Source organism: Homo sapiens, chromosome 8 (assembly GCF_000001405.40).
Source record: "Homo sapiens chromosome 8, GRCh38.p14 Primary Assembly".
Classification (NCBI taxonomy): Eukaryota; Metazoa; Chordata; class Mammalia; order Primates; family Hominidae; genus Homo; species Homo sapiens.
Window position 1 is genome coordinate 80,072,677 of NC_000008.11, and position 13,183 is coordinate 80,085,859.

Below are 13,183 nucleotides of genomic sequence, written 5' to 3' on the forward strand. Positions count from 1 at the left end.
ATAGATATGTGTGTATATACACACATATATACATCTATACGCACACATATATACATATATATACACACACATATATACATATATACACACACACATATATATACACATACACACACACACACATATATATATATATATAAACTTGGCCAGGCATGGTGGCTCATGCCTGTAATCCCTGCACTTTGGGAGGCCGAGGCAGGTGGATCACTTGAAGCCAGGAATTCGAGACCAGCCTGGCCAACCTGGTGAAACCTCAACTCTACTAAAAAATACAAAAATTGGCCAGGTGTGGTGGCGCACACCTGTAATCCCATCTACTTGGGAGGCTGAGGCACAAGAATCACTTGAACCTGGGAGGTGGAGGCTGCAGTGAGCCGAGATCACCCACTGCACTCCAGCCTGGGCAACAGAGCGAGAGCGAGAAAGAAAGAAATACAGAAAGAAAGAAGGAAAGAAATAAAGGTATTAACTCAAAAAAAATTTTTGTTTAAATGTACCTCCCATACTTTTTGGCCCATTTAATTTTTTATTATGGTAGAATATACAACAAAAATGTATCATCTTTAACCATTTCTAAGTGTGTCATTCAGTGACATCAATTATATTCACAATGTTGTACAGCCATCTCTGCTATCTCTAAAACACACTATTTTTCGTGTGTCTTTGCACATATTATTTTCTCTGCCTGAAACCCCATCCCTATTTCCAGGTCCCATTAGCTTAAATAAGTCAAAAGTGTCTCCTACTCTTGGGGGATCTCCCCTGGACCCCGTGACCTTGGCTGAGAAACAGTTCTTGGCTCTGGGAATAAGAACCTACGGTCCAGTCTATTGTATAGAATACAGACTGCAGCTGGGCAATACTTGGCCTTCATGCTCCAATCCTGTGTCTTTAGCCTTAGCAGGATCTCTGATGCACAGTGTCTGGCACACAGCAGATGCGTGTCAACACTGTGGATAAATGGATTATAGGAAGTTATACAGTCAAGTTAGAAGGAAAGATAAGAACCCAGTCTCCCTTCATTCTCTCTCCTTTTATCTCGAGCTTTTTATTTTATATATTGCATTCTCACTTCACTGTTTTTACCTAGAAAGGTTTTTCTATTTAAAGCAGATGTGAAATGTCACTTTCCTAAAGAAATATGACTTCCATCTCATACATAATCTGTCCAAAGATTGTCACTTTTGGGGGCAGGTCACCTACCTTCATATTACAGGAAAACAGTGTGCAGTCAAAAGTACCATGGTTACATAGGTGGGACAAAAATGATATCACAGAAAGAATATGTCAGCTGCCCCCAAAAAAATTCAACTAGGAGGGAAAAAGATGCCAAAATGGAGTCTAAGATATCTGCTATTTAGCCTGAATGTTAACACTGCCTACCCAAGAAAGAATCTGTTAACATATATTTGAGCCCTGGAAGCGTCTCTGGAAAATAAAGCTGCACAGGCCTTTCCTACACAAGTCTTCAAAGCAGGACCAATAACTTTAAGACCGGAGTCGCGGTAAGAAACTTCAGTATCTATGACTGTTTTATTTAAGCACAAACAAGAGGAAATATGCATCCCCCTTTTTAAACCTAGAGGCATAAAAAGAGATTTAAACATATAATTCAAAGTATCTTTAGTGGTAACATCCAGAAAGATCACAGGATGTTTTTTCCCCATGTTAAGTCTGTGCCTGGGGCTCCCATTCTCTGTGCCTTGTTGTTTCTGGATGTAATAAAATCCCAGAAGTGGGAGGAATATTTGCAAGTCCCCACACCACAATGGTTGTCTTCGGGAGACCCAAAAGATTAAGCATCCAGTTAAGGCAGCGCTTCTCAGGCACGGCACCACGGGCGTCATGCGGTGGATGACTGTGGCAGGGACTGCCCTGGGCATCTTCCTGTGTAGCATCTCAGGCCCACTCACCAGATGTCAGTAGCAGCCCCACACCCACACCCAGTTGTAACAACCAAAAGAGTATCTACAAACATGGTCAAATGCCCACAGTGGGGCAAAACTGTGGTTGAGAACCACTGACTTAAGGCGAGGGAGCATCTAAGAGGATGCTGTCTGCCACTGAGTGCCTTCAGAAGAGAGGGATGCAGCAGCTCAGGCCGTGACAACTTTAGATTCTTAAGGCTGGAATTTTCCCATGTGTGCCCATGGCAAGAACAGTAAAACCTTAGGGGGAAAACGAGTTGGGTAATTGTAGTCAAGGTAGCAGGGAAGAAAAAAACTGAGAAAACTTGATCCACTCCATTTAAGGGAAGACCCAAGCTCCTCACAAGCGTAAGGGGACAATGTCTGGGTTATTTTTTATTTTTTTTTATTTTTTGAGATGGAGTCTTGGTCTGTCACCAGGCTGGAGTGCAGTGGCGCGATCTTGGCTCACTACAATCTCTGCCTCCCAAGTTCAAGCAATTCTCCTGCCTCAGCCTCCCGAGTAGCTGGGACTACAGGCGCCCACCACCATACCTGGCTAATTTTTCGTATTTTAGTAGAGACAGGGTTCACCATGTTGGCCAGGATGGTCTCAATCTCCTGACCTCATGATCCGCCTGCCTCGGCCTCCCAAAGTGCTGGGATTACAGGCGTGAGCCACCACGCCTGGCCAATGTCTGGGTTATTAAAGAGTAAAGGAAACAGAGCAGGAGGGGAGGGGCTGCACTAAGACAAAAAGGGAAAGGAGCGCTTGGGAGCCACATCGGGTGCAAAGTGCTCCTGGGACTCAGCTCTGAAAGCAGGACCCTGAACAGTGGTCAATGTCCCCACCCAAGACAGAAGGTTACCTCCCAAAGCTTCACTTCACAGAAAGAGTGGACAAAGAAGAAACGATCCTCAAGGTAAAACACAGTATTTTCAAATGCTTTACTTGGTCCTTCCAGGTATTTCTAAATGGACCCTTAAATCTCTTTCATTTTTTTTTAAAAGAAAAAATCTTCAGTCAATTACTTCAGAGCCATCTCCTCTCCCCACTGCTCTGCTCCCCTGCCCCAAAATTGAGTATAAAACTAGTAACTGGGACATTCCAGAAAAGAGTGACAAAGGTCAGCCATGCAGAAATCTCAGAATCCCCAGAGAGGAAGTCTCTTCCATCCTTAAATTTCCTCTCTAGGAATAAGGAAATTCTACATCTCTTCAATTTGACTCCAGTTTTTATTTTGTAAACCACAGCCATGTTTGCTATTTAAGACTGATGCAATCATGAAAAACTTTTAAGAAGTGGTAACCACTTCTCTAAAAAGAAGTGAGAATGACACAGAGTGAAAATCAAAAAGGGTAAAACAGAATGAAAAGAACTATGAGCTAAGGAATTTCAGTTTGATTTTTCAGTCTTTCTAGAGTATCAAATATGATCGTGTTAAACTAAAATGTCAGATTTTTCCATTGCTCATAATTCCTTAAGTCAATAGAAATAACCAAAGGTGCCATAAGCCAAGTCTGCATCTTCCTGTACATTAGAAAATTCTCCCCAGCAATCCCATTACTGGGTATACACCCAAAGGAATATAAACCATTCTATCACAAAGACACATGCATGCGTAAGTTCATTGTAGCACTATTCACAATAGCAAAGGGTGGAATCAACCTAAATGCCCATCAATGATAGACTGAATAAAGAAAATGTGGTACATATATGCCATGGAACACTATGCAGCCATAAAAAAGAACAAGATCCTATCCTTTGCAAGAACATGGATGAGCTGGAGGCCATTATCCTTAGCAAACTAACACAGGAACAGAAAACCAAACAGGGCACCTTGTCACTTATAAGTGGGGGCAAAATGATGAGAACACATGGACACAAAGAGGGGAACAAATGACACTGGGGCCTACCAGAGGGTGGAGGGTGGGAGGAGGAAGAGGAGCAAAAAAAGGGAAAAAAAATCACTACTGTGTATCAGGTTTAGTATCTGGATGATGAAAGAATCTGTACATCAAACCCCTATGACACATGTTTACCCATATAAGAAGCCTGTACATGCACCCCTGAACCTCAAATAAAAGGGTTTTTTGTTTGTTTGTTTTGAGATGGAGTCTCATTCTGTCACCCAGGCTGGAGTGCAGTGGTGTGATCTCAGCTCACTGCAATCCCCTCCTGGGCTCAAGTAATCCTCCTACCTCAGCCTCCCAAGTAGCTGGGACCACAGACGTGTGCCACCATGCCCGATTAATTCTTTTACTTTTGGTAGAGATGGGGTTTCACCATGATGGCTGGTCACAAACTCATGAGCTCAAGTGATCTGCCCGCCTCAGACTCCCAAAGTGCTGGGATTACAGGCATGATCCACTGCGCCCAGCCAAAAGTTTTTTTTAAAAAAGAAAATTCTGGCCCGGCCCAGTGGCTCACGCCTGTAATCCCAGCACTTTGGGAGGCCGAGGCAGGCGGATCACGAGGTCAGGAGTTCAAGACCAGCCTCGCCAATATGGTGAAACCCCGTCTCTACTAAAAATACAAAAATTAGCACGATGTGGTGACGCGCACCTATAGTCCCAGGTATTTGGGAGGCTGAGGCAGAAGAATCGCTTAAACCCGGGAAGCAGAGGTTGCAGTGAGCCAAGGTTGCACCACTGCACTCCAGCCTGGGCGACAGAGCAAGACTCTGTCTCAAAAAAAAAAAAAAAAAATTCTTAAGAGGAAGATAGGTGCTATGTAAATAACATTTGGGATATTATCCTTAAGGGTGTTCACAGAATGGAAGAGATAATGCAACAAAAGACCCCAGCTGTGAGACCCTGGTCCTCATAATGTTCAGCCCAAAGATGGAATAGAATGTTGAGATCCAAGTGGCGTATAAAGTATCAACAAATTATTCCCACGGTAAAACACTTGACCAAAGGAGAACTTAAGCCTTGAATAGTTAATCTGTTCTATAATATCCATTACCAGAGAGGCTGAGATGTTGCGGTCTAAAAAAAACAAAAAACCAAACCACTAGCTTAAGAATTAAGAGATGAGTGCTAGTCCTATCTTAGCCTAACTAAACTTTGTGAGTTGAGAACATCACATATGTCTCTCAGCCTCAATCTTCACATCCGTAAAATGAACTGGAGTGTGAACGACTCCTTACCAGTGTCATTCATTCATTCATGCATTCCACAAAGTTTTTGAGCCATATAATGTCAAGCACTATTCTTGGTGCTTGGGGAAACAGAGGTGAACTAAAAAGACAAACAAAGCTTATGTTCCAGATTCTGAAACTATTATAAATTGGTGTTTTCACACTATGGGTTGTAAAATCCAGTTAGCAGAACCAGATGAGCACTTTAAAAGAAGAAATGGCATCAAATAGTATAAAATGTCAGAGTACATCACATATAGTAAGGAGAAGTTCTGGTTCATAAAATTTTGCTTCAGTTATTGATAGATTCTTATATTTGTGAGGATTGCAGGTAAGGAGGTATAAGGCATTTCTGAATATGGGTTGGTTGTGTCAAAGGAGTTTAAAACTCCCTAATAAAAGGCTTCATTTTGTTTCAGCCACTGTCCTCATCCTAACCTTCGCTTTAATTACTTCTTAGGAACATCCTGCCCATAGATAAAATCTCATTACTTTCCCGTTTGCCCCATGATGGCATTTTGGATAAATATCAGAGATATTTTTCACTCTTTTCAAATCAGTATTCCCAACCTCTCTGGGTAGGATTCCTTTTTATATCAGTCCTTCTTGTCTGTATTACTTGTCTGGTGATTAAGAAAATACATAGTGGCCAAAAGCCACAAGAACTTTTAATGGATTCATAATGTATTGGTCCTAAAAGCTTCTACGTAGAAATACAAAGAGTGCAAACACACGGAGGACACATTATTCATTCCATCGACCAACCATGTTTGATGTTCAGACAGGTGTGCAGACTTCTTATGCCCTGAGGGGTCATGGGCACAGAGATGAGTAATCACTCTTCCAGGCCCCCACTTTTATTTGGCCATTTTAAAATCACTGTGTTCTTACAGATGACTGCTGAGGGTGGTTTCTGCTTGTTTTAATGCTTGTTCACCCTCTTTTCTTTCAATTAATGCAAACTACTAAACCTAGCTACATGAGTTTGTTTTTCATTACTGTTATTCATTTGCTTTTTAATAATTTTTTAAATCTCACAACCCCAGGTTCCTTCGAACAGCTAACAGGAATTGTGAAGATAATCTTTCAGAATCTGCCTAGAGGTACACCCAACCCTACAACTGCCCTGGTTTTGACAGAAAACATCCCAAGGCAGCCATGACCATAACTTGGAAAATGAAAGGAGGTGAAACCAAGAGACAAGAAGGGTAGAAGGGAACTAAAAGAAGCAAGCAGTGTCAATCTTCCTGGGAATCTGGATGCTTGCACACCGATCAAGGTCCACCTGAAGTCACAAAACCACAGCCCCAGCTTCTCAAAGGTTCCCTCCCTCCCCCGCAAGTCACTTGAGTTTCAGTCCATTATCAAGCTCTAGCTTCCCCATTCTGTGTGGCCCCTATTAAATTATACATAAAATTTATAAGTTAGAAGGGGGCTGGGCAAAGGGGGAGCCCAGGCCCCTTTATTACAGAGGTCTGAGGGGGGCCACTTGGGCAAGGCAAGGTCAGCACTGGAGAAAGTTTCCTGGCAATCAGAATCCCCCAGCAGACATCAAGCTGCTGCCTCCTGCCCCCAACTTCTACAGACCAGCTCTACCCCTTCTCTGTTATATTCAACATTTTCCTGTTCCTGGAAATCCCAGCCACTTTTGGGGAAAGATGGCTACCAGGTGCAACCAAGAGAGGAATGCTGCTTCACACATCCCTACTGTCGGCAAATACACAAACCTAAAATACTTAAAACTAAGTTTCATGCTGTCACCTTTACCATGTTTTTTTCTAGGTTACCCATTTTTTCAGCTTAAAATGAACAAAATGTGACCTGTTCTTCATTAATAAGGAAAAAATTAACTTCTGGAAAAACCTGATTGCTTATTTGGCAAATTACAGAGAAGGTCATTTAACCAGTTCCCAGCATTGGCTATGAGATGAGGGACCCAGCCGGGAGGATGGCTAAGCTGCTTCTGGCTTTCTGCTGCCTTGTGCCAATAAAGGAAGGGCCTCCCTGATGGTGCTCCTGGCCTTCAAAGCAATCTCATACTGGTAAGTATGAAGGAATAACTGCTTCTAAAGGTACAGCAATTTCTAGTTTTTCTTTAAAAAAAAAAAAATCTCTTGCCTAGCAATTTCTGTAAGTTGCTCTCAATATTCCATAACAAAACCCAGGACAGTCATTAGCAAGACCTTGAACTGAGTCAGTGCTTAACCATCATTTTACTAAAGAGAAAAATCGGGAAAGTTGTCGTAAATTACCTAAGCAACTAGAAACCAAGGACTTCAGATTCCTCCTTTTTTGTTATTTACCAGCTCAACAAACTCAAAGTGAGCTTGGAATATCTATCAATGGAGAAGTCTAGTGATCGCATAAATAGTACTAACTTTAAAATCTAACTTCTAAGTATACACATATTCTAAATATTTAATGAGCCATCTATCTCTGTACTTTGAATCTAGAATAGCTTATTAGCTAGTTACAACCCAACACCACCCTGGTACATCTTTACACTAACAATTTTAAAGCCAGGCAAACCCCAAGTTATGTCTAGGTTTTATTCCAAGCAAACTTAACTTTACAAAATTAGTAGTTACCAAATTTCTGAAGAGTAGGTGATCCGGGTGGAGATGAATTTCCACTAGGAGACAAGTAGAGATAGCTTTTGTTCACTCCTGCATCAAAATCAAACGGGGACTGGTAGTCCTCATATAAGTCCATCTCTCTACAATCCATTCCAGACAAACGCAGAATGCATGGCTGTCTAATCGCCTGATATCAGCCTTCAGTTGAGTGCCGCTTTGGCCATATTCCCTTTGTAGGGTGCAACTTCACTGAAGAAATCAACCCCAGGAGTTAGAGGCCCTGGCTTCTGGGCCCAGGTGCCAGCATTTCCTTTTGGGAGCCTTCACGCCCCTCCTGATAAGCAGACCTATTTAATAAATGATTTATCCTGAGCAACCTTAGGAGGGGCTCTATTCACCACCTGGTGTTAATTTCGATCAACAATGAAAAACCTGGGCAGGGAGCGAGCTTTCCTCAGTCAACAAAGAAGGGCAGGGTTCTGCAATATGGCCCAGAGGTACAAACAGTTCAGGCAAACATCAGACACTGGCTGACTTACAACAAGAAACTACAATTTATTTAAAATAAATAAATAAAAAAATCAGCTGACCATGACTACACCAGGGCAGACTTAATCTTCTAGGACAAGGAGGGATTACCAGTCAGTAATCTCCCACAAATGCCATCTGAGTGATACTTTTTTTCCACCCTGGATTACAGTAAAATTCTGAAAGCCAAGCTTCCTGGTTTAGCAATCAGCTTTCTAAGCACAACTTGGTATAAAAATAAAGCTGTATTTCCATGATTACTTTATCTAATGTGGAGTCTGGCTGAGTGTCACAAAAACTTCAGACTGACTTTTCTTTTCTCTCTCTTTTTTTTTTTTTTTTTTTTTTTAGAAAGCTGGTGCTTCAGTTACATGCACTCAAAGGAGAAGAATCTACTTTGAATGGAAAGCTCCCGGGTATTCCCACACCTTCTTTGTTTGTCTAAGGCCATGGCTCTGCAGAGCTGCAATAAACCTGCGTACCCACCCTGCAGAAGGACTGGGCCACAGCTAGCTTGTAAAACAAAACTAAGTCACCAAATTTATTTCCTTTAACACAGTCTCTTAGCAGAACCTTTCTATGCTGACTGTGGCCTTGGCTCAAGCAACAGCAATTGCAGCTCCTGCTGGTTCTACTAAGGAGGTAAAAATAAAGGCGACTCGCTTTCAGGTGGGCAATGATCTGTTACTGCATAACAAAAAAAAAGGCAGTGTTCTAATCTAATCTAAAAGGCGGTTTTCAAATCTAAAAAAAAAGAGCTCAGATATACTCTCCTTGGATTGGAAGCAAGTATGAAACCTAATATATTTTAAGCATTAAAAACATCAGCATGTGTCTAGTGTATAAAATACATATGCACCAAGATGGTCTGTATTCATCTTGTGATTTTTTTTTTTTAAATACAGAATATATGCTGGATGATTTTATTTGTTATTTTTGTTAGTCTCATGTTGTACTCTATTTACAGTAGGTCTTTTTTTGTTTTGTTTTCGATACAGAGCTTCGCTCTTGTGACCAGGCTGGAGTACAATGGCACAATCTCAGCTCACTGCAACCTCCACCTTCTGGGTTCAAGTGATTCTCCTGCCTCAGCCTCCCAAGTAGCTGGGATTACAGGCACCCACCACCCACTATGCCCGGCTAATTTTTGTATTTTTAGTAGAGATGGGGTTTCGCCATGTTGGCCAGGCTGGTCTCAAACTCCTGACCTCAGGTGATCCGCCTGCCTCGGCCTCCCAAAGTTCTCGGATTACAGGTGTGAGCCACCGTGCCCGGACTATGGTAAGTCTTTTTTTTTTTTTTTTAAGTTTATTTTTAACAACAAAAAAATCTGTATTTTTCTCCTAAAAGGTACCAAAATTTGGGCAACTATAAATGTTTCATTCTATACTTAGAAATAAAATAAATGGTTTCTTTTTTATCATTATCTGAAAGAATGGATTGTCTGGCTTCTTGAAATCCATGGCCTCTTACTGGGACAGGAAAGGCATTGGAGTTATGTCCCTAGACTAGAAAGAGTATGGTTCATGAGGTCCCTGGCCCTCTCCATAACTCTGCATTTGGTCACTAAATATTGGTAGAAAAAGTATTTGTCCATTACTTTACTTGTTCCACCACCTAGAGCCAAAGGCATTAGAAGGTAATTAATAGTGATACGGATAGAATGCAAGCCACAGTCACCTCCATCCTTCTCACCATCTCTCAAGCCCATGTCCTTGACCTTTGGTATTTACATCCATGTGACACGCTCTACCTGAAATGTCACCTTTTTCCAGCCTGTCAAAGTTATTCATCCTTCAACACTGAGGCAGAAATGCCACCTCTTCTTAGAAGCCCCCTAGTCTCTGGCCCCCTCTTCTCCCAGCAGCAGCACACAGCATGTGAAGAGCCCCCTGACAGGCGCCTGTGCCTATCCAGGGCCTCTCCAGGGCGCTCTACCGGATACCTGCCCTGAAGGTTTGGCTCCTAATCAATGTGGAATTAAAAAAGCAAATGATGGCTCATGTAGATGTTACATGCCTTATTAATAAATGTGAGCATTTCAAATTTAAGTAATTGCCTAAAATTTTTATTTTACCTGCTTAGATACAATCTTAGGACTTTTATGCAACATCCTGGCTCTTTGAACCAGTTTTTGTTCTCATTATCTCCAGTCAGATCCCAGTCAAGACATTCTAGCCTACAAGAAAAGTGAAATCTAGAAGTGGGAAAAGCATGGGATGGGTTAATGGAATGGCAAAAATTCAGTTAACTCAACAGCCAAATACAAAGTAGAAAGGAACTGAAAGACATACAAAATGGAAATGTAGCTTGGGGGCAGACCATTAAAGACTTTAACAAATTTTATACTTAATATACTGTGCAAAAAAAAAAACAGGATTTATGAGTCATACGGAGAGTATAAGTTTTATAAAGATGACTCTAGAAATGGTATAAGGATGCACTGCAGGCATAAAGAGGCTAAAAGAGAGAGGACTCAGAAAGAGGCTATGGGTACAATCCCAGCAAGGAGGAGAAAGCCTTGTGATATGGTTTGGCTCTGTGTCCCCACCCAAATCTCACCTTAAATTGTAATAACACCCACATGTCAAGGGCGGGACCAGGTGGAGTAAACTGAATCATGGGGGCGGTTCCCCCATGCTCTTCTCCTGATAGTGAATGAGATAGTTCTCTGACGGTTTTATTAAGAGATCTTTATAAGGAGAACAGATGGTTTTATAAGGAGCTTCTCCCTTCGCTGGGCACTCATTCTCTCTCCCGCCACCCTGTGAAGTGGTGCCTTCTGCCATGATTGTAAGTTTCCTGAAGCCTCCCCAGCCATCTAGAACTGTGAGTCAATTAAACCTTTTCCCTTTATAAATTACCCAGTCTCAGGTATTTCCCCATAGCAGTGTGAGAATGGACTAGTACACCTTGGTATCGGGGCAACTCTTTTTATTTCCTGTTGTGGACTAGTCGGCCTGGGGAAGAACCAGGTAAGATTTGGTCCTGTCCTGTGGATAATTCCACTTGGCTCTTCCAAAAGTACTTCAAAGTCAGCATGCACAAGACTGAATTCACTGGCTTTCCTCACAATGTTCTTACCTCTAGATTAGGCATCCTGAGTCTCCTAGACCTGACTTTGAAGGAATCACATCCAAGCACTCTCACTCCATATGGAGAAAGCACGAAGAGCTATCTACCAACCGGTACCACAGGCCTTCTAACCTTTCCTTCATTTCCATTGTCCTCATCCACACCCTACTTGAGACCCAGGTGGAGGGTGAGACCCACTCTATTGTTACTATGTTTTTCCTTCTGGGAGGGACCAGGCCCCACAGCAGTATGGTAGACATCTGCTATCTTGTCAATTTTGCCCCTCTTCCCCTAGAGGAATTTCACCTCACCTGCTCCCTGGGGTTCTCAGTGGGGAGAGAGGTCCATAGTTCCCACCCCCTGGCCCCAGGCATGGGCCTGTGCTTCAGATCTGGTCCACGCAGACACCCCATCCCCTTGTTCACAGGGACTGGCCTAAGGATAGACATCTGACCCAGACACTGTCAATCAATCAGTGGCCTTCCTTGATGTTTACTCTGTGAGTAATGGAAGAAAGTGACTCTCTCTGTAACCTGAGCTGTTGGGTGGGGCTGGCAGCTCCTTCCCTCACCAGGCCAATGGGCAAGAGACTCAGTGCTGAGACTGGGAAGGGACAGAAGGAGAAACAGAAACAGACAGGTAAGGGATGGCGCAGCAGCATCTAAGCCCCTGCCTCCAGCTACCCTGGGCTTCCCAGTTATTAAACAAACACAATTTTGTTCTGCTCCACTTGTGGCTGGAGTTGAATTTCATCATTTCAGTAGAAAGAGTCCTAACATACCTACTTTCTGACCATATTTCCCACTATTACTCAACCATGCTTTAGCCAAACTTGACTTTCCTGTTTGTTGAACACATCCTAAACTTAGCCCAGACAATTTTCTCAAACTAGAGTTTCCCCTTTTCCTGTAAGTTCCTACCCATTTAGCAAGCTCTACTTATTAAGTCACATATGAATAGTATACATGCAAGGGACATTCACTTTAGATGCTACCTGAAATGGAAAAAAGCAATACAAATGCCTACTAAAAATGGATTATTTAAATGCTAAAAAGAACATTCAGGTAATAGAAAAATATGGAAACACTGACATAATTATATAAAAATATTTATGAATTTTATATGGAAAGGTACTGATACAGTTAGCAAACAAATCAGGTTTGAAAGAAGGTTGTATTGTATGGTCCATGTTTGTGTAATAATTTATGAGAGAGAAAACCACAAACCAAAAGAAAGAAAATGGGCAGAAAGAGAAATCCATTCCATGACCCCAGAAAAGTGCTCACGCACCACTATGCCAGCAGAGGGAGCCCAAGGGCAGTTCAGAAGTCAACTAGGTGCAGCCAGTAAAGTGCGTATGTACTGCAGGGTAATAACCGGAGACGACTCATGTCATTGCAAACGGAAATGGTAGTAGGTACAAATGACTATAAAGAAAATTAAGTTTCTGTCTGCCTGTTAACTCATCACTCAAATATGTCAGTGTAAATTCTCCACAAACTTGAAAGACATATAAAGGACAGTCTGATTTAAAAGCTATGAAACACAATATTTACTTGGAGGGCACGTCAAAGGGAGACAATGTGGCTGTCCACCAGGAGAGGCAGGCCGCAGATACTTGGGGAATGCAGACGTGTCATGGTGATACAGCAGCTGGCTGGAAGGGGCTCCAACTAGCCAATATGGGACAATCAGGCCGCCAAAAAAATTAGGGACAGTCAGGGATTATAAACCACTGAAAAAAACAGGAATCCAAGAGTCCAAGAAAGTAATAAATAGAGAGAAGGAAGAACTACAGAAGAATGCCACCCTGACCATCTTTGTAAAGATTCAGACAAAAATCATCGCTGGATGCTAAAGCTCGGGAGAAATTTTGAGGAAGAAGATGATATTTAAATGATGTTTAAAGTGCCTCTCCACAGATTAACTAGCTGCCAGAAGGAAAAACATTGAG

The 13,183-nt window shown here is 42.2% G+C and overlaps 2 protein-coding genes and 1 long non-coding RNA gene across 20 annotated transcripts in view, besides 1 other annotated feature; 1 reads left to right on the top strand and 2 right to left on the bottom strand.

Moving 5' to 3' along the window:
* Window positions 1–13,183, bottom strand: part of TPD52-MRPS28 (TPD52-MRPS28 readthrough) — a 252,848-nt gene that overhangs the window by 153,960 nt on the left and 85,705 nt on the right. The window lies entirely within an intron of this gene.
* TPD52 (tumor protein D52) overlaps window positions 1–13,183 on the bottom strand; it is a 140,483-nt gene that overhangs the window by 41,595 nt on the left and 85,705 nt on the right. For 5 of the 16 annotated variants that reach the window (NR_105033.2, NM_001025252.3, NM_001287142.2 and 2 more), the window contains exon 1: window positions 7,639–8,154. The exons of the other annotated variants lie outside the window; for them this stretch is intronic. Coding sequence is in view for 4 of the 5 variants with exons in the window: in NM_001025252.3 (NP_001020423.1) it covers window positions 7,639–7,777 (139 nt within the window). In the remaining variant the exon portion in view is untranslated. Of the gene's footprint in view, window positions 1–7,638; window positions 8,155–13,183 lie in introns of those variants that run through there. 16 annotated transcript variants of the gene reach the window in all.
* LOC105375919 (uncharacterized) lies at window positions 6,846–9,191 on the top strand. Of its 3 annotated transcripts, XR_929089.3 has the most exons (4): window positions 6,846–7,092; window positions 8,506–8,570; window positions 8,714–8,823; window positions 9,153–9,191. It is a non-coding gene; the product is annotated as an uncharacterized LOC105375919 (long non-coding RNA). The 3 variants fall into 3 exon arrangements; XR_929088.3 differs by having other exon boundaries at window positions 8,506–8,823; XR_929090.3 differs by having other exon boundaries at window positions 8,506–8,796; window positions 9,153–9,190.
* Window positions 12,648–12,697: a silencer, noted in NCBI's record as "silent region_19318". NCBI's record gives its function as "represses an Ori minimal core promoter by ATAC-STARR-seq in GM12878 lymphoblastoid cells {active_cell/tissue: GM12878}" and the evidence as "EXISTENCE:reporter gene assay evidence [ECO:0000049][PMID:35858748]".